The 20,904-nt window shown below is 42.4% G+C and overlaps 1 long non-coding RNA gene across 2 annotated transcripts in view, besides 1 other annotated feature; it reads right to left on the reverse strand.

The window, feature by feature from the left end:
• Nucleotides 77-610: an enhancer, noted in NCBI's record as "NANOG-H3K27ac hESC enhancer chr3:187707584-187708117 (GRCh37/hg19 assembly coordinates)". NCBI's record gives its function as "activates a minimal SCP1, AML or CMV promoter by ChIP-STARR-seq in primed H9 embryonic stem cells {active_cell/tissue: H9 hESC(primed)}" and the evidence as "EXISTENCE:reporter gene assay evidence [ECO:0000049][PMID:30033119]".
• LOC107986166 (uncharacterized) overlaps nt 4,554-20,904 on the reverse strand; it is a 48,325-nt gene continuing 31,974 nt past the window's right edge. Inside the window, exons 3-5 of one of the 2 annotated variants that reach the window (XR_001741061.2) lie at nt 14,182-14,269; nt 12,696-12,860; nt 4,554-8,039 (exon numbers count right to left, since the gene is read on the reverse strand). This is a non-coding gene — a long non-coding RNA (uncharacterized LOC107986166). Of the gene's footprint in view, nt 8,040-12,695; nt 12,861-13,559; nt 13,711-14,181; nt 14,270-20,904 lie in introns of those variants that run through there. The other variant, XR_001741062.2, reaches the window with a different exon arrangement.

The raw sequence follows: 20,904 nt of genomic DNA on the forward strand, positions 1-20,904 counted from the left end.
AAGTAATCAGGGCAGCCAAGGGGTGGCCCCTTCAGCCTAGCGTTTGCTCAATTTCCAAAGCGTTTCCTTTCTCTGAACGTGCCAGTTGCTCACTTTCATATTTTCAATACAGGGCCCATTGATGACCACAAAAAGGAATGTCCAGTGCAGCTGCGGGTCCACTTGAGCCCTCCAAGCAAGCACTCTCAAGCCCGCTCTGTCTGGGAGCTCTGTGTTTTCAGAGCCTGTTGTTGCAGCGATGCCTGGAATCCTTAACACCTGCACACCAGCTTCCTGGGCATTTCCACACCCTCCCCCTCCCCACCTCCTGCATCTCCCATTTGCATCTGAAATGCAGCTGCTCTGGGCCCTATAGAGGAAAGCCAAATGGACAGGACATCTCCTTGTTTGTTCTCCCTCCCCTGAGTCAAACCGAATCTGAAGCTCCTCTGTGCGACGCCTTTGTTGCCTCCTCATTATGTTTAAATGAGCCTCATCTGCAGGAGGATTTTTTTTTAATAAAATAAAATAAAACCACCACAAAAGACCAAAGCATATGACATCTGCTCTTTCGATGAAAGCTTTTTTTGTCCCGAATTAGACTAAAAAAAGAAGAAGAAAACATGAAAGAAAAAAGAACGGGGCTGGGCCTCATTTTTACCATTCCTCCCAAGAAACAAAACAAACAGAATTAGTGTATGCTGGAGGCAAAGGGTGTGGAATGGATAACAAGAAAAAAAAAGGGGGAGAAAAGATGAAATAAAAGGAGAACTTCCTACTTCTCCAGCAGTGTTTTGCCATCACTCTACGTCAGGAATATTCAGACACCATTACTTAGGTGGCCATTACTTTGAGAGAATGTTCAAATTTATATTTCCTATGCTCATTTCACAGGTAAAACTTTTAACAACTCTTTAGCCATTATCCCATCCTCCCCAAGTAATATCCATGTTTATTGAGTACTGCAGGTGGGTCTGGTATAGGTTGTACCTGAAGAATAATTTGAAAAACTATTATCTGTATGCTGATAACACCCAAATCTTTATCTCCACCTTATCTCTCTACTACTAAACTACTAACTACTACTACTACTATAACTACTACTACTATTACTAGAATACTAACTATTACTACTACTACTAGTCTACTAACTAGACCTCCCAACCTGGCTCACACACTAAACACACCACCTGTCTGCCAACACCTGCTTCTTGCCCGGTGTTCCCTTCTCCCTGAATGGTACTCAGTACCCCCACAAAACTCTTGAGTTATCATCCTCAACAGCTTCCTCCTCCTCAAGCATGCCCTATCCAACCCATTGCCAAGTCCCATTAATGTTCCATCTAAAACTCTCCTGATCTCTTTTCCTTTCTCCTTCTCCATCGCCACAGCCTGAGTCCAGGTCACCTTCCTCTCTTTCATCTAGACATGTCACACCCAGCACTCAGCATTGCTGATTGTGATCGCTTCTTGATCAAAACACTTTTTAGTTCCAAGGTGGAGCCTAATCCTTTTATGTAGCTTCCCAGATGTTCATGTGCTGGCTCCTGCCACCCTCTCTGACTAATCCCCGTCTACCATCCTCTAATCCATCCCAACCTAAATTCCTTCAGTCCTCTACCCAGCTTCATGCTCTTTCACCTGAGGCCTTTGCACATGCTGGCTTCTCTACCTGAAATACTCTTCCAACTCTGTATCTAAGGTGTTACCAGCCTAGCTATGTTTCCCAGGCAAACATCATAGTGTCCAAGGCGGATCCTTGATCTTCTATGCGTATCTTTCTATATCTTTCATCCACTTAGCTTCTTGAGGGTCAGGGACCCTCTGTTTTGAGGGGGAAAAAAAAAGAAAAAAAAAACTTCCTGAATGAGAACCCAACCATTTTTTTAGACCCAACATAGCAAGCTTAAAGTTTTATTTTGATGATGGGATTTGCCAGTAGTTGGGTGACATCTTTGTTTCTCTTCTGTTAATCTCACATTCTTTCCAGGGTTTTCTTTCCTTGGGAAGTAGAGATGGAACATGTATGCCAAACAAGACAGTGGGATGGTTCCAACCAAAGACTCTTTGTCTACTAGATTTCTAGTTATGAATGAGCGGGGGAGGTTGAATTTGCTTATTATTAAAACCTCTCCACATACTGGAATTTTAAAATCTAGCATACATACAGAGCTGAGATCGAAAATCTGGTGTGAGATCAATGCTTCTAACCAATTGAGGACCTGAACTCAATCCATTTCTTTAACAACCAGGTGGTTCAACTATAAGTGATACTCTTCTCCCATCTTGAGCTGAATCACATGCGTTCTGGAGTGGCCAAAGAAGAGCAGGAAGAATTGAAAGTGATAGAAATAACCAGTTGATGTTTATTGAACATTGAGTGTCACCCTGTAAAAAATACTATGACATTTGTAATTCAGTTTAGTTTTAAATGCCCTGATATGGTCAATATACTAAACTTTGATTTTACAGATAAATCAAAGTTCAGAGATACTCACTGGCTTCCTAAAGACTTGTAGCTTCTTTTGCTCCTTTGACTCTTTTTATTCTTACCTCCCTGCAGGTTTCTGTGTCCACCCTGGAAAAAATTCTTGAGCTAGAAAGAAATCAGAGCTAGGGTTCTAAGAGAACATATCTGGAGAAATTCTGGGCTCTGATATCTCAAGGCTTGGAGGGAATAAGCAAAGAGAAGGCCACCCAGGAAGCAGAGGGACTGGGCCTTGAGTTTTCTGATAAAGGATTGGGAGAACAGTGGAATTCCGCACTTAGTATCTTCTCTAACAACTTTTGAGCATCTTTTTAAATCTCTCCAAGGTTATTTAGACAATAAGAAATTTCTAAAGAAAAGGTAGATGGTGAGGAATAAGGCTTCAACTGTTGACTTAAAAGTGTTAAGTGTTCCTTCATAATTTACCTGGCTTGTTAATGGCAGAGACAGTAACTAACAGGGTTACAGAAAGGGAGATGTCACAATGGTGTGGTTACCCTTCATGTTCTTCATGGGTTAAAGAACAGGGGTTGTCTCTACTCCCTACTGCATGAGCTACTGAACTTTGAATGGAGTGGAGAAAGAAAAAACAAAAAACTATCTGTCTCATGTTTCTTCCATAGTCAATTGATATCCTAACATCTCAAAGTTCAGTGTGAAACAAATACCAGAATGAATTCCATAGCTAGCTGTAGAATAATGATGACAAGACTATTTCCATATTATGGCTGAGGAATTTTAAGTATTATGAAAGTCAATGGGTTGCCCATTCTTTCTTTCAATAAATATTCATTAAGCTCCTCCTATATACCCAGAACTGGATACCAAGGCAAACAAAGCAGGCATAAAGCTTATTGGCTACTGAGCGAACAGTCATAAAATAAAAAATAAGCACAGAAATATATCTAAAATCACAAATTATGATTTGTGATGAGAGAAAAAGTATACGATAGTGTAAAGAAACATAACAGAAGGGATGGCATAACCTACATGGTGGGTCCGATCCGTCCTTTCTGAAGGAGTGATCCTTATGCTGTGAGCCAGAAAAAAAAAGCGAGAGGCAAGCAGGCATCAAGACCAGCCTGAAGGCCCCAAGACTGGAAAGTGGGTGGCCAGTATAGAAGAGGAAGGACAAAAGAGGGGGTCAAGGGGAAAGGCAAGGGCAGACTATGTGACCTTCTAAGCCATGGCAAGAACTTTGAACTTGATTCTAAGTACAGTGAGAAGCCATGGAAGAGTTTTTGTTTGTTTGTTTGTTTGTTTTGTTTTTTTGAGAAGGAGTTTCGCTCTTGTCACCAGGCTGGAGTGCAGTGGTGCTATCTCGGCTCACTGCAACCTCCGCCTCCCAGGTTCAAGTGATTCTTCTGCCTCAGCCTCCCAAGTAGCTGGGACTACAGGCGCCAGCCACCACACCTGGCTAATTTTTTATTTATTTTTTATTTTTTTGTATTTTTAGTAGAGACGGGGTTTCACCATGTTGGCCAGGATGGTCTCGATCTCTTGATCTTGTGATCCACCCACCTCGGCCTCCCAAAGTGCTGGGATTATACACATGAGCCACTGAGCCCGGCCCATCAAAGAGTTTTAAACAGGGAAGAGTTGTGATCTAATTAACATTTTAAAAAATGTATCCCACTAATTGTGGAAATGGATTGGACAAGGGTGAGAGACTATTTACTGAAGTTACTGTAAAAGATGATTGAATAGAGTCTAGGGAGGTTTAAATCCCAGTTACCATAACTCAAACCACAAAGGCCTGTTTCTAAAAAAAATCATTACTTGTGATTTATAATCTAAAAAAACAGTATGCCATTTTATTAAGCAGAGTCATATTTTTTCAAATGTCTTATCAACTAAGATGACCCAAAGTCATGGGGGTTGGTTCAGGGCAATGCAATTTCTAGCTGGCATTCCTGGCCATCGTTTTCTACTTTCCAGGTTTTCCAAGAATAGTGGTTGAGAGGGGTAGTCAAAATTGGGGAATAAATATATAGGTCATTTGTATCTGATTCTCCCACCCAGCCTCAACCTCACTACACAGCAACAGCAACAAATGTCAGTGGCAGGAAGTACACAACAAGAAGAATTAACCACAATTTTTTTAATCCAAACTTACAAACATAGTCAGTCACACATACACATACAGTTGGTTTGAAGTGGAGTGAGGGGCGGTAGCCAGCCTTCTTACTTTTTAACCAATAGGATCTCATGTTAGCCATCAAAGCAACAGACTTTCAGTCAGTTGACCTTTCATGATAGAGGGTTTTGTGGGGAGAAGAGAGAGAAAGGAGAGAAAAAAAATTGAGGTTTTTGCATCATTTGTCATTCTAATAGTTGAAGACTGAATCAGTCTTATGTTGCAGACACATTAATTTGATTAAGATACAATCCATGGGTCATTCAGGCATGTAAAGTACTCTTGCTTAATTGCAAAATTAACAATAGAATAGGATAAATCATTACCAAACTGGAGGTTGTTCTGGGACTCATGGACTTTTTCCCTCACTCAATTCATTTTCTCCATCTAAAGTTCTTTTTGACACTTTGTTAAAGGAAAAATCGGGGCTAAGGCAACAGTAAGTGGCAAACCAACATTCAATTCTCAAGGCATTAGTTGAGGGACCTCATGCTCTCTCAGAACAGGAAATGCCGGTAGACCCATCTTACAAAAAGGATCGAAGAGTCCCTTCAGCTCCAAAGAGTTCATAACCATCTCATGATTCACAGAACTGTAGGAAGTTATCCAATGCCTCAAGACATCCACTCTGAAACCTGAAGCCTAAGATCCTAGTTTCCATTTTTATTATATAACTCCTTGTCTGCCATCTCATTTCTTTTCAGGAGCAGCCTAATTTTCAGGCCCTGAGCAACTTTTAGTCAAAAAATATCTACTATATTCCAGGCACTGTGGTAAGTGATAAAAATATAAAAACAAAGACTGTTCCTGGATCTCAACAAGCATTTCCTCTAGCTTGTCACTGAATTCCCTCCCTTCTGTGACTTCATGAGAGACACCTGGCTACAGCTTGGTGCCCACTGATGTGCTGTAACAGAAGCATGCACAGCACTATGGCAACACACAAAAGAAAATTAATCAAAGAGTAGGTGTGATTTCAGTTGGCCTAAAATTGAATTAGGAGGAGTTGACCATTCAGAGGAGAGAAGAGAGAATTCCCAGCAGAGGGAACAGCATGAATCAAGGTGGGGAAGTGCAGGGATGCAGGGGTTATGTGGTCATTACCCCTGCAAGAAGCAACCAGGTGCTTTCACTTATGTTGACAGGAAGTATCAGTGACCAAACATACAATCCAAATCTGGGAGAGTTAAGCACGAATCCCAGCAATATAGAGAAAGGAATTCTAGACTGGAATTCAGGAGACCCATTGTTCTTCTATCTAGAATATCATGTGACCCTGAGCTGGTGGCCATTTCATCTGAGCCTCAGTATCTTCATCTGCAAGATGGAAGTAAACATTTCTTCCCTATCTATTTTATAAGTCCCTTTGAGGGATAAGTGAGATCATGAACATGATAGGTTTAACTCAATTCAGGAAATGCCCAGCTTAGAATTCTTTATGGTAAGAGTGTAAAGCACTGATATCAAACTGAAGAAGTTATTAGCAGTATTTTAAGTGGGAATTAACATGCTTTATTCAGGAGTCAGCAAGGCATCCAGTGGCTGAAGTGTAGGGAGCATGACTAAGGGTAGCTTGGAGACACCCTTAAATATGCATAGATCTTATTTTTCATTCAACTTAGAAACATGGCTTTAATCCTTTATTTTATTATTTTAATACATAAACAAAACTGGCTCAGAATGAACATTCAAAGTGAAAAATATACCTAAGCATCTAAACCACTTATTCTATGCTTTGCAAATGACTTTGACTGTCACTATACCAAAAGGTTTGCTATCTGAAAATTTATCAGGACGGGTCAGAAGAAAAACAGGTAAAAATTGATTCAGAAAACAAGAGTTTGAAGGAGTCTTCAACCCCTTTCGGCCCTAATGCTTGGTAAGCACCCTGCACACAGTGCTGCAGTCATACCCCAGAACATATAGCCATTTCTCATTTCCGATATGCCAGAGCTGGGCAATGCTGCATGTGGTTCAGAAAGACTGGTGTTTATGTCATGGCTGGGATTGTAGACTATACACTTCCTGCAGGCCTTGTGAGATAAGACAGGGACATTTCTAGAAGAGCTGTCCTCTGGAACCCCAAGCAGTTTGGAGAAAAATCAAAGAGGGAGAGAAACAAGTGTCACTATTTTGAAAGGATGATTTAGCAGTGTCAGACAACTTAGATCACAAGATGATGGAAATAAGAAAATGCCAAAACAATTTGCTCTCTTCCTTCACCTTTCTTCTAAAGAGCTTAACATATTTTATAGACATAGATGCACATTTTTATCATTGTACATTGGCAAGTCACTTTATCTTCCATAACTTCAAAGGTTCCCCTTTCCTCGTTTTTAAGGAATGGTGAGCAGATTAAGTGAGAAGCCCTTTGAAAACCGCCATGTCTGTGGTAATCATTGCTTAGAGAGAGAGCCAGGGCAGGCCTTGACATTTGTTCCATCCACCCCAGATGGCATTTTAATCTCTTTGCTCTCCTGCTGTTACATGGAGAAGAAAAGACTGGTCCACATGCAGGACCAGAGGCCTGAGTGGATGTGTCAGCTCTGCTCTGTGTCCCTGGGCAAATTAATTTACATTTCTGGCTTTGGATCTCTTTTCACCATTATCCTCAAAAGGTAGACATGAGCTCTAATATCCCTTTCAGTTCTAACACCTTGCAAAACCAAGATTCCTCAGGCTGTACTCTACTAACTGAGCAAGGGCCAAAAGCCATGAAGATGAGGGTTGTAGCTGGTGTTCCTGTTTCCTTACCTGTAAATTGAAAAGAACACTTACTTTGTGGAGTCTTTGGAAGGATTAGATATGATATACTCAAATCTGCTAGCACAGTGTTTGGTACCCAGTGGGTGCTCCATAAATGGTTTCCTAAATCAAAACTACAAGATATCCAGTATAAGACTCTGCCAACCTGATCTCTTGTCTTCTCAATTCCAGGCATCTTCATGGCTTGAGCACACGGCCTCTGAGTTACAGCTGACTCCTGTGAACTTGAAGTCCAAACATTAGAACAATCTTTGAGGCTTTCTGTTTTTTTCCAGAGGACATATGGAAAGCCTGTGAACTTTTCTGTTTCTTTTAGCTGGAACCTTGTGCCCCTGAGCACCAGTTTGCTCCAGGTGTCTGTGAAAGACTCCAAGGGAAATTGTTCCTAAGAACAACTATTTGCTTCACTGCGTTCATGCCTGCAAATGTTTTGTGCACCCCCTGCAATTGCAGGAGGAAGGAATACAGGAGACTGAGAGTCTGAAGCCACGAGTCAGCAGCATGATGTCCTTCTGTGTCTGCTTTGCCCAGTTGCCATCCTCCCAGTGTGATAAGCACTTGAGAACAGTAAGTCTTCATCAGCAACAGCGATGTCATTGCAGGCACTGGGCAGGCTAGAAGCTGTAGAAACGTGTCTCACTTACTCAGCATCCCCATCCCCTGCAGAACCTAGAAAAAAATCAGAAAATTCTACATGCTTTTTCCTATTTAATGAGGTCGAACATTCTTAAGGAATGAAAAGCACAGCTCCAGACTAGCTTTTAATTAGCTTCAGGAGCCCTTGTTTCAAACTAGCCTGGTTCCCAAAGCTATTCTCTCTCTCTGCTCTGAATGAGATGAAAATTCAATGGCATTTCTCTTTGTCAACTCATACTAAAGTGCTCCTTCTGCCCCACAGGGTTACATAGGGAAGGACACTCAGTAGCCAGGCACTGCACATTTTGACCCCAGTAGGACACCAGAACCCTCAAAGGGCGGTTAAAAGACCAGATTTGGTGTTGTTTTTGATAACCTGCTGTGTAAACTTGGGCCGGTTTCTCCACGTGTACAACGGAAAAAAAAATATGAACTTTAGAACCAAATAGACCTGGGATAAAACCCTGCCTTCTCATCTGAGTGCCTAGCAAGTTAACTAAGACAGTTTCTGTCTCTTCATTTGCGCTAACGGTATTGATGTCTACCTTGTGGGATGTCTGAGGGGCCAAAGGAGATATTGTAAGGAAAGCATAATGTCCTGGACATTGATAGACACTCAGAAAACGCTGTTCCTCTACTTTCATCCTCATTCCTCCCCTCTGCCTATTTCACTGGGTTGAAGTAATGACCCAAAGGGATAACATGATTCAGAGGTTAGGAGCCTCAGTTTTGTAGCCAGAGGCCAGGGTTCAAATCCCATTCCTGCCCCATCCTGGCTGTGTGAACATGTGCAAGTTCCACGCCCTCACCGTTTCTTTGCATTGAAAATGCAGACAATGTCAGTAGCTCCCCCATAGGATTACTGTGAGGACTAAATGAGATAGTGTACAAGACGCCCTTGCCTAGTGCCTGGCACATGGTAAGTACACTATAAATTATTAGTTAACAACAACAGCTATAGCATCTGAGAGTGCATTGTAAAATGGAAAAATCCTCCAAGACGCTCATCTCAAATCCTTTTTGGAAAGAATGTGCCAGTGTTACCGATGCTTATGTAAATGTAAGTGGTTATTATTTATGTAGGAGAACATTACTGACTATTATGCAGGAAGAGGGAGAGAACAATGTAGAGGAAGAAAAAAATTTACAATGGGCTTCAAAGGGGAAAGAGGAGAAAGTAACATCTCACCCAGCAATATAAAAGCAGCCCCATATAACTCAGCTCTGCTCTGACTGTAAAACATTATATCAATAGTCTTCCCTGAAAAAAGACAAGAAAGAGAAACACATGGAAAAGAAAGGAGAAGGACAACCTCATTTTATTTCCCCTAAAATTAATCCTAAGGTTGTATTTATCCAACAGAATCTTACTAAACACCCACCCCATGGGAGATGCAGAGACATAGCAGGCCTGGCTCTGTCCTCAGGGAATTTGCAGTCTAATGAGGGCCTTCCAACAAGTACATAAATAACTAATTAAAGGTAGAAAGTGAAGTGTCATGAATTATCCTCATCATTGTTATTAGATGTCATTTTTATTGAATTCTCTTTTTTATTATATCATCTCTTTTTCCAAAAAGAATTTTGGACAATTTATAACATAAAAGAAGTTATACCCTGGGTTTTTTTAAAAAAAGGAACTAGATATTTAGATTAAAGCAAAAAGATGTGGCAAAGACTAATGTAATTATCGAATTGAGAATCAAATTCAAGTGAGCATTCTGGACATCAGGGCAAAATCAAAATAGGAAACATATTATTATAATTTAATATTTCTTACATGTTGATGATCTCTTAAGTAATATTCAGAAGCGTAGACAAGGCCAAATTCAGTAATCTTGCATTTTCAATTCAACTGAAAAATGCCAAAATCATGCATGTCTGTGGAATTCAGGTAGGCACTGTTGATTATCAACATTTAAGGCCATTATTTTGGAAAAATCATCATCTTTAGTATGAATCACTAAAATATTGTTGCTTTTCATTGTTGGGAGGATTGTTTCTTAGGTAGCAGCTATGAAGAATGCAAGCTGTTTCACTTCTTATGTTTAATATATATACTCTAAAACCCGAACAATATTTGTATCATTAGGCTAGACTCGATAATTTTATTTTCAATGAGATTTCAGTGCTCCAGAGAGCTTTGATCTGTCACAGGGCTCTCTTGGGTTAATTGCTGCTGTTCTCAAGTCATCCTCGCTCAGACAGGTAGGTGGGAGTGAGTAGAATTAGCCAATTGTACAGAGAATCAAAGCCATTTGCTTGCAAGACTACCTACTTCTGAGAATTACCATGAATTTTGCATGCCACTAAGAAAGGAAGGAAGGAAGTGACATCTTAAAGATCCTGGGCTTGGGCGAGCTGCGGTGAAGAAGACCAGCTGCTATTATTCTTCTGGCTGGTTCTGGCCTATTGTGATGTCTTTTATAAATCTAAGAGAACTTGAATTTTAAAGCTTGTTTTAAAGACCCTGTTTTGCCTTTTTAAACTGTAATTCTTTAAATGTTCAGGAGCTTGATTAATGAGGAAGAGTTAAAAATAAGTAAATAAAAAAGACAAGTAAACAAGTCAGGGGAAGAGGTGCTGAACTGAAAGAAATAAAAAGAATTGCAAGGTGAGGAGAAGGGAGACTAAGATGTCCAGAAGGCAATAGCATCTCGCCATTTCTCTGTTCCAGGCCCTGCAGTGCCCCTGAGAGGGGGTTTCTGGTGTCGGCCAGTTGAGAGAGAGCCCTGATCAGGCACGGGGCTGGACAGGGAGCCTGGTAACACGTGCTGGTCAATACCACACACATCTGTTTGATTTGGCACTGCTTACCAGCCAGCTGCTGGCACAGAGCCAGAAGGGGCAGGTGGGGGTGTTTGGGGAGGGGGAAGGCAGGGGAGAGGGGATTATGTACAGTTGTTCCAAAATGGGGAACGGGGAGGAGGCCAGAAGAAATGAGGTGATGGAGGCCCCAAGGGCAGGCTGGAGCAGGAAGCCCACAGCTGTGGTGGTAGACCTTGCTGCTAATCACCCTCTGCAGCAGGTGAAGGTACTGAGTCAAAGTGCAGAGGCAGTAGGGAGGTGGCTTCCATAGACATTCAGGCATGGGGCCAGGTTTGCGTGAAGTGTCAGAAGTGCTTTCTCACTCTCCCTTTTGACCCACGTACTGTCTATCTCCCTAATGGTGAGCCTTTCAGAAATTCCAGACTAGCCACCATGTTGCTTCCCTATTTTTCCGACAAGATTAAACATTTTATACCCCACCTCAAATAATGTTTTTGGTTTTGTGGGGTTTTGTTTTGTTTTTTTGTTTTTTGCTTTTTTTTGCTCACAAAGACTTTCTCTAAGCTGTTAACAGCCTCCCAACCATCTAGAGAGAACTTTGGAAAGAATAAGCCTGCTCACTTAACAGAAGACTTAGGAAGTATGAACAATGTTCCTGAAGCCACCTGGCTTGGACAGTGCAAGAACAATCTGAGCAAACGCTGACTTTTCCACCCCAACACCATTTGCTCTGCCAAAATTTGCTCTGGTCCAAACTTTCAACCTTGTGCCAAGATGTTGAGTTGGTGAGTAGTGAATGTACACACCAGGGGAGAGCCATATTACTATGTCATCTCAGTGTGAAATCTGACACAGGCATACACGTTCAGTGTTCACTGTTTATTAACCAACACTGTCTGCCAGAAACCATGCTGGCTCTTCAAGTAGCTCACCGTCTGGGTGGTCTCTTCCTGGATCTCTATCCAGGTGTCCATTGCCTAAAGGGAATCCATTCAAGTCACTTCCACATGCTTGAAAATCTCACAAGTTTATCCTCTCTGCTCCTTAAAAAGTTCTATTCCCACCACTAGCATCACAAGTGACAAAAGACAAGACACTGTGTTGCAGCTGAAACTGACTATTCTGCTTCTTGAAACAGCAAAATCTGTTTACTTCTATGGTATTCTCAGTACACTGAGGGTCAAAATAATGTGATTGGGAATTACCGACATCCAATATAAAATACTAAAAAACCCAGAAAATTTTATATGGTTTGCCCTAATAATATAGGTTCAGGTTCTAAAGGGTATATGAGGTTCAAATCCTAATTCTGCCATTTCTTAGCAGGGTAAACTTTCCTTCTCTGTAATTTAAAATGGGAAGAATAGGAGACCTTATCTCATAAGGTTGTTGTAGTAAAGGGCTCACTCATGTAATGGCACAGATTTTGGCTACTGCACTCCAGAATGAAAAGGGAGATTTGTCCTTCATAGACAGGGCATCTACAACCACAACATCCCACTTCAATCTGGTTTTTCTTTGAATAATAAATTCCCCACCTTGTGTCACTGTAATTCTATCTTTCAACTCTCAATGCTCACACAGAATACTGACAGTTAAGAGACACCATTAAACTCTGCTACTCAGGAAAGGAACTTCAGGAACATAAGCTATCTACAGATAGCAAATACCAGCAAAGTTTAATCTGATTTATCAGCCACTTATTATTACTCCATTTCCCTTTTGCACCAGTGTCACATTCCCTGGAGACCTTTCAGGCTCTTCTTAGTCCTGGGCCTTCTTGACCCTCTACCTGAAAGGTGGTTTTCCTCTAGTTTTCTTTAATATAATTCCCAGGCTTCCTTCACTCCTTCTTCATCTCATCCTGAGGCTTTCGGTTCTGCACGCTTTGTCACATCCCTCTTCCATTACCTAACTCACCTGGATCCTCGTCCAACCTTCATGCCTTACACTGTGCACGGCTATACCATAGTCTCAACTCTGCTTTGGAATGATGTTGGGTCATAAGCAGTTTATTCAGCATAGTTTTCCATTTTCAAACTCGTTTCCGTAGGCTGTATTACAGCTCTGTAGGACTGTAGACCCCTATTGATATAAAACATAGATATCCATAGTTATCCTATATAGGGTATTTCCTCAGAAGTCCCAACTGCATCCACAAGGACTTGGTCACTGATACCTTGCGTGGTTGACACTGCAAGAGTTCTCAACTTAATTCTCTGCTCCACTCCAGGATTGAGGGCTTTTATTGTCTTCAGTGAGAGGACATTTAGCAGTCAGGTGACCCAGCATCAAGTTTGTCCCTTTCTGACCTTGCACCCTGGGTCCAGTGACTCATCTTATCTCTGATTTCATAATCCACCCAGGGTCCTCATTCCTACAAAACTGTTGGAATTAAAGTCTACCACCAACAGCTCCATAGCCTGCCTGTCTAGGAACAGGACTTATTCCCAGCCTCCCCCTAGCTTGATGGTAGAGTGGAAACAAACAGCAGGTTTGCACTCTTACCTAACCACTTCTTACATGACTAGTTGCTTTATCTCTCTAGGCCTCAATTTCCTCATTTGTTAAATAGGAATAAAATTACCCTTGCAGAGATACTGTGAGAATACATCACAAAGCAGACTGAATTCTTGACACATAGCATTGCTCAGTGAATAGTAGCTGTCTTTCTTAGGATGACCATTTATTATGGCTGGCTTGATGCTGGCTGCCGCTCAGCCTGTCCACCTCTTGCTTATCTTCGTGTGCTGCTGACACTCCCACATTCACCATCACACCTACCTAACCTCCTCATCTGAGTTCCAACTCCTCCTCTCCTCCAAGTGTGTTCTCGTTGTGTCTGTTCTGACTGCTGGCTAGCGGTGTACGGGAGCCAACAGGTACCAGCTCACAAGAGCTGACCCTGGCATCTCTTCCTAGCTCCACATTCAGTGAGCATCGTATTGGTAGCTTGAAATCAGGCACAGTGGGAGTATTTACACAGCAGAAATCAGCAAATACTACAAACAGGGCTTCCCCTTCACCCCACAGAGCCATTTGTTAAACATTTACAGGCACATAAGTGCAGACTCTTCATTTCTTCTGTACCTTCTCTGGGCCTTATTATCTGACCTGAACACTCAAATATAGCCCTTTTAAAGGAAGATCTTAGGGCTTTTTTTTGTACACTGACTGGCACTGCATTTCAGTGAGAATGCAGCTAAATCCATGCCGAAGTTTACAGAGTAACTCAGCTTAGGGATGGAAATATTTCACCAGGAAACAAACAAAAAAAATCTAACGAATATACATTAACCTCAGGATTAACCCTAGCACTAATGAGATCAGCTCAGTACAACCCAACTGTTTTTTTCCTGCCGGGCTCCCTCCTGGTGAGACAGGCTCCAGGGGCCAAGGCCTTTACCTGAATGCTGATGGAAATCTTCCAGGCCCTGAATGACATGTTCTCTGGGCCACTCCTTGAATGCCTCTAGCTTGGAAGCATTACTGTCCTGTAACAAAGAGGGTATAGAAGAAGATGAATCCTTTGTAGGTGAAAAGGGAGGCCTTGCCTTTCCTGCTTTGTTGTGAAGGCTCTGAGCCACATGAGTTTGCTAAGCTATAGACATGTTGAGGGCTCAAGTTCTGTTCCAATTTGTGTCCCCTAGAGGCCTGAACAAGTATCCTGTCCCTTTATGGTGTTTAATTAAGGTTTATTGTACTGAAGACCACATTTGGGATGAGTAATGGTTACTTAGTGCTAGGACGCACTTACCTATCTAATCTCCTTGAAGAAATACTTTATTAAGGAAATAAATAGATGTGTATGCCTGTGCCAGGTGCGGTGGGAGGAAGGATACTTTTCCCTAGGAGGAAATGTGTCCTTACGGATTTTAGAGAGCAAACTGTCATCTACTATCCTATCTGACTGTAGTGAATGTCATAAATCTCCTTTTAGCAGTATTTTATTCCTTCCTGTACATGAAAGGACTCCCCACCAGCCCAATTCAGGGGCACATTCCATCCTTCTGCCCTGTACTCCTAAAATCCTCTTTTTCCCCCACAAAGTTTAAAATTCTACCCATTTTTCTCTCTTCATAATTGCAGGCTGCCTACAGAATGCAAAACACTTCTCACCACCCCATGTCCTCGCAAGTACCCACCCTTCAACTTGCTGCCCCTAAAACTGGCACCTAGGGCAAGTTTTATTTTGATACATTTTATGATCATCTGCACAGGGATACCAACAGAAAGTGATGAGTGTAGGGAAGGGACAAAAGTTCCAGGAATGTCCCCAGTGCTCTCCTTACCCGGGTCTCTGGCCCACACTAAAATGGGAAATGCAACCCCTAGTTCTAAGAACTCCTCTTTGTATCCTCTCTCGCCTTCAGGGCAATGTCTCTGATGTTGGCAGGTACCACTAGCTATCCCTAATAAGAACAGCAGATATGAAGCTGTCAGGACCTTAACGAGGCACTTCGCAGGTTACAAATCATTCTCTCATCCTTTACTTTGGTGAACCTCAGAACCACCCTGTGACCTAGGCATTGAGGTGACCACCACCATCCTTCAGATGAGCTCATGGGACAGAGCTGTCAGAATGCCTGGTGGATGCCTGGGTGCGACACCTGCCAAGGCATACAGTGATTACGCGCTGCTTCTGCATAACCTGCAGAAAGACTCTGATTCAGGCCATCTTTTTTGGGCCGATCACGAGGTCAGGAGATTGAGAACAGCCTGGCTAACACGGTGAAACCCCTTCTCTACTAAAAATACAAAAAATTAGCCGGGCATGGTGGCGGGCACCTGTAGTCCCAGCTACTGGGGAGGCTGAGGCAGAAGAATGGCGTGAACCCAAGAGGCGGAGCTTGCAATGAGCTGAGATTGCGCCACTGCACTCCAGCCTGGGCGACAGAGCGAGACTCTGTCTCAAAAAAAAAAAAAAAAAAAAAAAAAGAATCTCAAATTGTGTCTTAACTCACTTTTATGAAGAAAAGTCACACACATTTTCTATCCACCACCCTGTCCCACTGGCAACAGCTTTGGTGCTTGCCTGATGACCGGATCTGTGTTCCCATGGCTACAGAGTAAAGTCAGGGCACCTCAGGCTGGACATCCAAATGACCCCTTGCCGTACTTCTAAGATCCAGGTTTGAGATAGGTCTGGATCAAGATGAAAAATTGCCATTATCCCAGGACTGGCTTTTTATGTCTTGCTTTATCTTGCCATACTTTTTATGTCTTTTTCCCAAGTCATCAAATGTACAAGTGCTTCAAGCCACAGAACTTCAGACTCCCTTAATTTATATTCTTACCTTTCCAGTAAGAATTAACTCTGAGTATTTAGGTTCTTCAGATACAAAATGCCTACTCTCTACTCCATGTAGTAAGAAAACAAAATTTATTTTTGAATATTTACCAGTTTAAACTTCTCACTAACTCATACTGGCCATTATAATTGTATAGGATTTTTCTCCACAGAAGTCAGGAATCTCCTTCAGCATGTTGATGTCAGATGATAGAATGGAGAGGACCAGTGGACTACTCAGTGCCAAGCTTAAGAGGTCATCTCATTAATCAATTGAATGGAAGTTTAATTTATTCATTCAACACACACTTACTAATAACTTGAGCCCCTGTAGTACTTGAGATCTGCTAACATATACATGTTATAAGTATGTTATCCATGCTTTCTAATTAGATTGTGAGGCCCTTCAAAAGAATCTGATCTCAATTTGCCACCACCTGTCTTATAACATCGGGCAACTCACTTCACTTCTCTGGGCCTCAGTTTCCTTATTGTGGGGGGTGGCTAAAAGGAGCGCCCTAAATCCACAGAGTCACCTTCTTCCCACTCAATTCAGCAATTATGGGTTATGCACAGAACATGAGAGCTGCTGAGGAAGCTCAAAGAAGGAAAGAACAAGTGCTGTTCAAGAAGAATCAGAATTGTTGAAGCTGGGCGAGGGTACATGGAAGTTCATCAGATAATTCTGTCTATTTATGTGTATATTTGAAAATCCCCTACAAAAAAAAAAAGCAAGAAAGGAAGAAAGGAAAAAATACAAGGAAATCTAGCAGGCTTCACATAGCGAGAAGCAATTTAGCAGAGTTGAAGCATGGGTAGGATTTCAATGAGCCGACACTTGGTCAGGGGCCATTCCAGGCAGGGAACACCATGAGCCAGGGCATAGAGACTGGAAAATACAAGGTGTTCACAAAGAACTGGGAGTAGCCATGTATGACAGCAGCATGGGGAGCCAGAGGGAGCAGCTGGAGATGGGCTGGAAAGGTATCGTGAGATCAGAGCTGAAGAGCCTCCAGAGGCCCTAGAGGAGTCTCAGCTTAGTTCAGTTCACCAGGGAAAGTGACCTCATTGGTCGCGCTTGAGTTGGCCTTACTGCTTCACAGCCCGCCTGGGTGCAGGCCCAGAAGCAGGGCCATGTGGCAGAAACTGGCAGAGGAGGATGCTGGCAGCACCACCGGGCTTGTTTCTCCACCAGGAAACAAGGTTTCCTATAACTCAGACCCATGAATCAGCATTTCCTCTGTCAATAATACGCAGCCAGAAATGCAACAGCACAGAGCTCGGGGAATGGAAGAAAGGAAGGAATATTCCATGACATCGCCAGGCTCTGCTGCTCTGCTCTCCTTTCCCCTCAAGAAGCACTGCTGATAAGCTCCCGAATGACACTCAGGTTTCATAGGATAAGTTTCTCAGAGAACCGCACGGTACCTCATGACAATTAAGTCCCACAGAGTAGTCGGCGCTCTTGTCATACTGTGTGTCGCTATCACCACGAGGATAAGTAAGAGCACTTTCTGAATTCCTTCATTACATGATAACTAACCATTAATACCACCGTTCTATCATGGCAGAGATTTGAGGATACGTGTGATTTACCTTTGCATTTTTACACTTCCACATTCAATATGTTATTTGATTCTCATGATAATCCCGTGAGGTACACAGAGAGTATCATACTCATTTCACAAGTGTAGATACCGAGGCAGGGAAATTAAATGCTTCTTCCCTGTTGAATCTGTTTTGAAGATTCCGGAACTGACCCCAACTCTTTAAATTTCAGTCCAGTATTCTTTTCAAAGTCATATACTTTTAAGAAATGTTTAAATATTACTATTAAATATATTTAATAATATTACATTAATTGACAGAATATTTAATATACTTAATTTACACTATTAGAGATGTATCGTATGTAAACTATATCTTGTCTAGCACCAGTAAGAATTTTATCCATTCCCTTATTCCATTCATTTATTTATCAGGTATTTCCCGACTGCTTACTATACGCCAGGGTCTGTTATAGACACATTTGGTAGTGAACAAAACAGACAAAAAGCCCCGCCCCTGTAGCGGTCACACTCTAATTGAAGAACTCAGACAATGAGTAAGATAAAAGAGTAAAATTCAGAGTATGTCAGAGAGTTACACGTGCTTTGGAGAATAAAGCAGACCAAGAAGAGGGTAAGGAGCGTTGAAGGGGTGATGCAATTTCACATAGGATGCTCAGGGACTACCTCACTGAAAACATGACATTTAAGGCAAGACCTGGAACGGGAACTAGCCAGCCATGTGGCAATTTGCAGGGTGGTGCGTGGGGCAGGCAGTCAGCAAATGAAACAGCAAATGCAAGGCCCTGAGGTGGTTCCTCCTAGCATGTCCAAGGAACAGTAAGCAGTCAAGTGTGGCTGGACTGGAGGGAGAGACAGGGAGAGGCTAAAGATGCAGGGAGTGGAGACTGGGGATTAGAGCACGTAGCCCACTGTAAAGACCCGGGGTTGACTTAGAGAATTTTCTGTCATTTACTAAAAACCAATACAAGCACTAAAAGACAAAGCTAAAATAAAAACAAGACAAGGCCAAAATGCAAACAACCAAATCATGTAAGGGGAGGTTAAGATGGTGAGGAAGACAGGATAAAAACGTAAGGGGTATATGGAAAGAAAGGAAGAAAGAAATGAAGTGGTTATATTCTGTTCATTTGCTCTTTGTCTCTCTGTATCTTTATTTTTTTCTTTTATTTTTTGAGACAGAGTCTCGGTCTGCCACTTGGGCTGGAGTGCAGACACATGATCTCAGCTCACTGTAGCCTCAACCTTTTGGACTCAAGCGATCCTGCCACCCCAGCCTCCCAAGTAGCAGGGCCTACAGGCACATGCCACCACACCTGGCTTAATTCTTTTTTTTTTTTTTTTAATTTTTAGTAGAGACAGGGTTTCACTATATTGCTCAAGCTGGTTTCAAACTCCTGAGCTCAAGTGATTCACCCGCCTCAGCCTCCCAAAGGGCTGGGATTACAGGCATAAGCCAAGGCACATAGTCTGTCTCTCTCTCTCCACCACACTTCCCTTGCTTGCTCTTTCTTGTTCTCATGCTTTCTCTCTCAGTTTTGGAAATTCCAGATCCAGGATACAAGCCCTCAAGCCAGCTGCCATGGGTGCTTCTCCAGGAGCCATGCAGGGCAGGAGCAGGCAGAGGAGCACCTCATCACCACAAGCTTGGGCCCACACCCTAGACCTCAGTCAGGCTCCTGTCTAGCTGGGCCACAAGAACTCATCAAGTCTTCTCTTGCCTGGGCTACAGGAGGAAACAGAACAAAACCCTCCTGATGCCCCAGCCCCCAGGCCTTCCCAGGGACAGCCACCTTCCAAGCACAGTCCGCTTCCAAGCAACAGGGAGAGAAGCCCCAGGAGAAGGAGGGAGAAGGGTGAACATTCAAGCTGTTAGCTCAGCCCTGTGAAAACTCACCCCCCAAATCAGGAGTCCATAATACTCTTGCCTTTGACAGCCCTGACTCATCTTTGAAGGGGAGTGTGGCTGTGGCAAGGACATGGGTGTGAAGGAGGGAAAAGCATGATCTTGCCTTCCCTCTGGAAGCCAGTGTTCCCCTACTTTTTCTTCTTCTTTTTATTCTATGGGCTCAATGGGCAAGCTCATATTCATTCAGTACATCCCCACTACCCTTCCACCACCACCTCCTCACTATCTTGGAGAATTTTAGAAAATTTCTTTATGTAACGTCTCCAAACTTTGATACTAGGACCAGTGAGAGGGCAGTTTAGCCCCTCAAAGCCTTCTATCAATGGCTCTTTGATTTGCCTCCAAAAGTTACTAATAGATCAGAACAGGACAGTGCTCCAAGGCAACAAGGGACGCAAGGTGGAGAAGTCCCTCGCCATCCTTTGTACCAAGTAACTGAGCAAACAAGAATTGCCCTTATCCAGAGGCATACACACAATCTCAGTCAACCCAAGATACCATGATTATGGTGGGGGAGTAAGGACCACTAAAGTAGCTCTTCAAATTATTTCTCTCATTTGTGTTTTTCTCCAACACCACCCTCCTCTGAAGCTCCACCACTCCTGGAATCACCATCCTAGTTTGATCTCCTCTGAACTTTTATTAATTAAACTTTTTATTTTGAGGTAATTGTAGATTCATATGTACTTGTAAGAAATAATACAGAGAAATCCTTTGTACATTTACTCAGTTTCTCCCTATGTTAACATCTTGCAAATCTATAGTGTAATATTATAATCAATATGTTGATGTTCATATAGTCAAGATACTGAATCTTTCCATCCCCTAAGGATCCTTTACATTGTCTTTTTACAGGCCCACCTACTTCTCTTCTGCCCCAACCCTTTCCTTAACTGTGGCAACCACTATTCTGTTCTGTTTGTATAATGTTGTCAATTCAAGAATGTAATATAAGTGGAATCATACCATATGTAACCCTTTGAAATTGGCTGTGTCAAAACCGGATAATTCCTATCAGAAGATTCATCCAGGGTGTGTGTGTATCAATAGTTGGTACCTTCTCATTGTTGAGTAGTATTCGATGAATAAATGTGCCACTGTATTGGGGGAACCCACTCCTGACATTTCAACGTAGGTTCTTTCTATTTTCCGTAAGTGTCAGCCAGTCTGAGAAATAAAGAGAAAGAGTACAAAGAGAGGAATTTTACAGCTGGGCCACGGGGGGTGACATCACATATCGGTAGGACCTTGATGCCCACCTGAGCCACAAAACCAGCAAGTTTTATTAAGGATTTCAAAACGGGAGGGGGTGTACAAACAGGGAGTAGCTCACAAAGATCACATGCTTCAAAGGGCAAAAAG

The sequence above is a fragment of the Homo sapiens genome, chromosome 3 (assembly GCF_000001405.40).
Source record: "Homo sapiens chromosome 3, GRCh38.p14 Primary Assembly".
Lineage (NCBI taxonomy): Eukaryota > Metazoa > Chordata > Mammalia > Primates > Hominidae > Homo > Homo sapiens.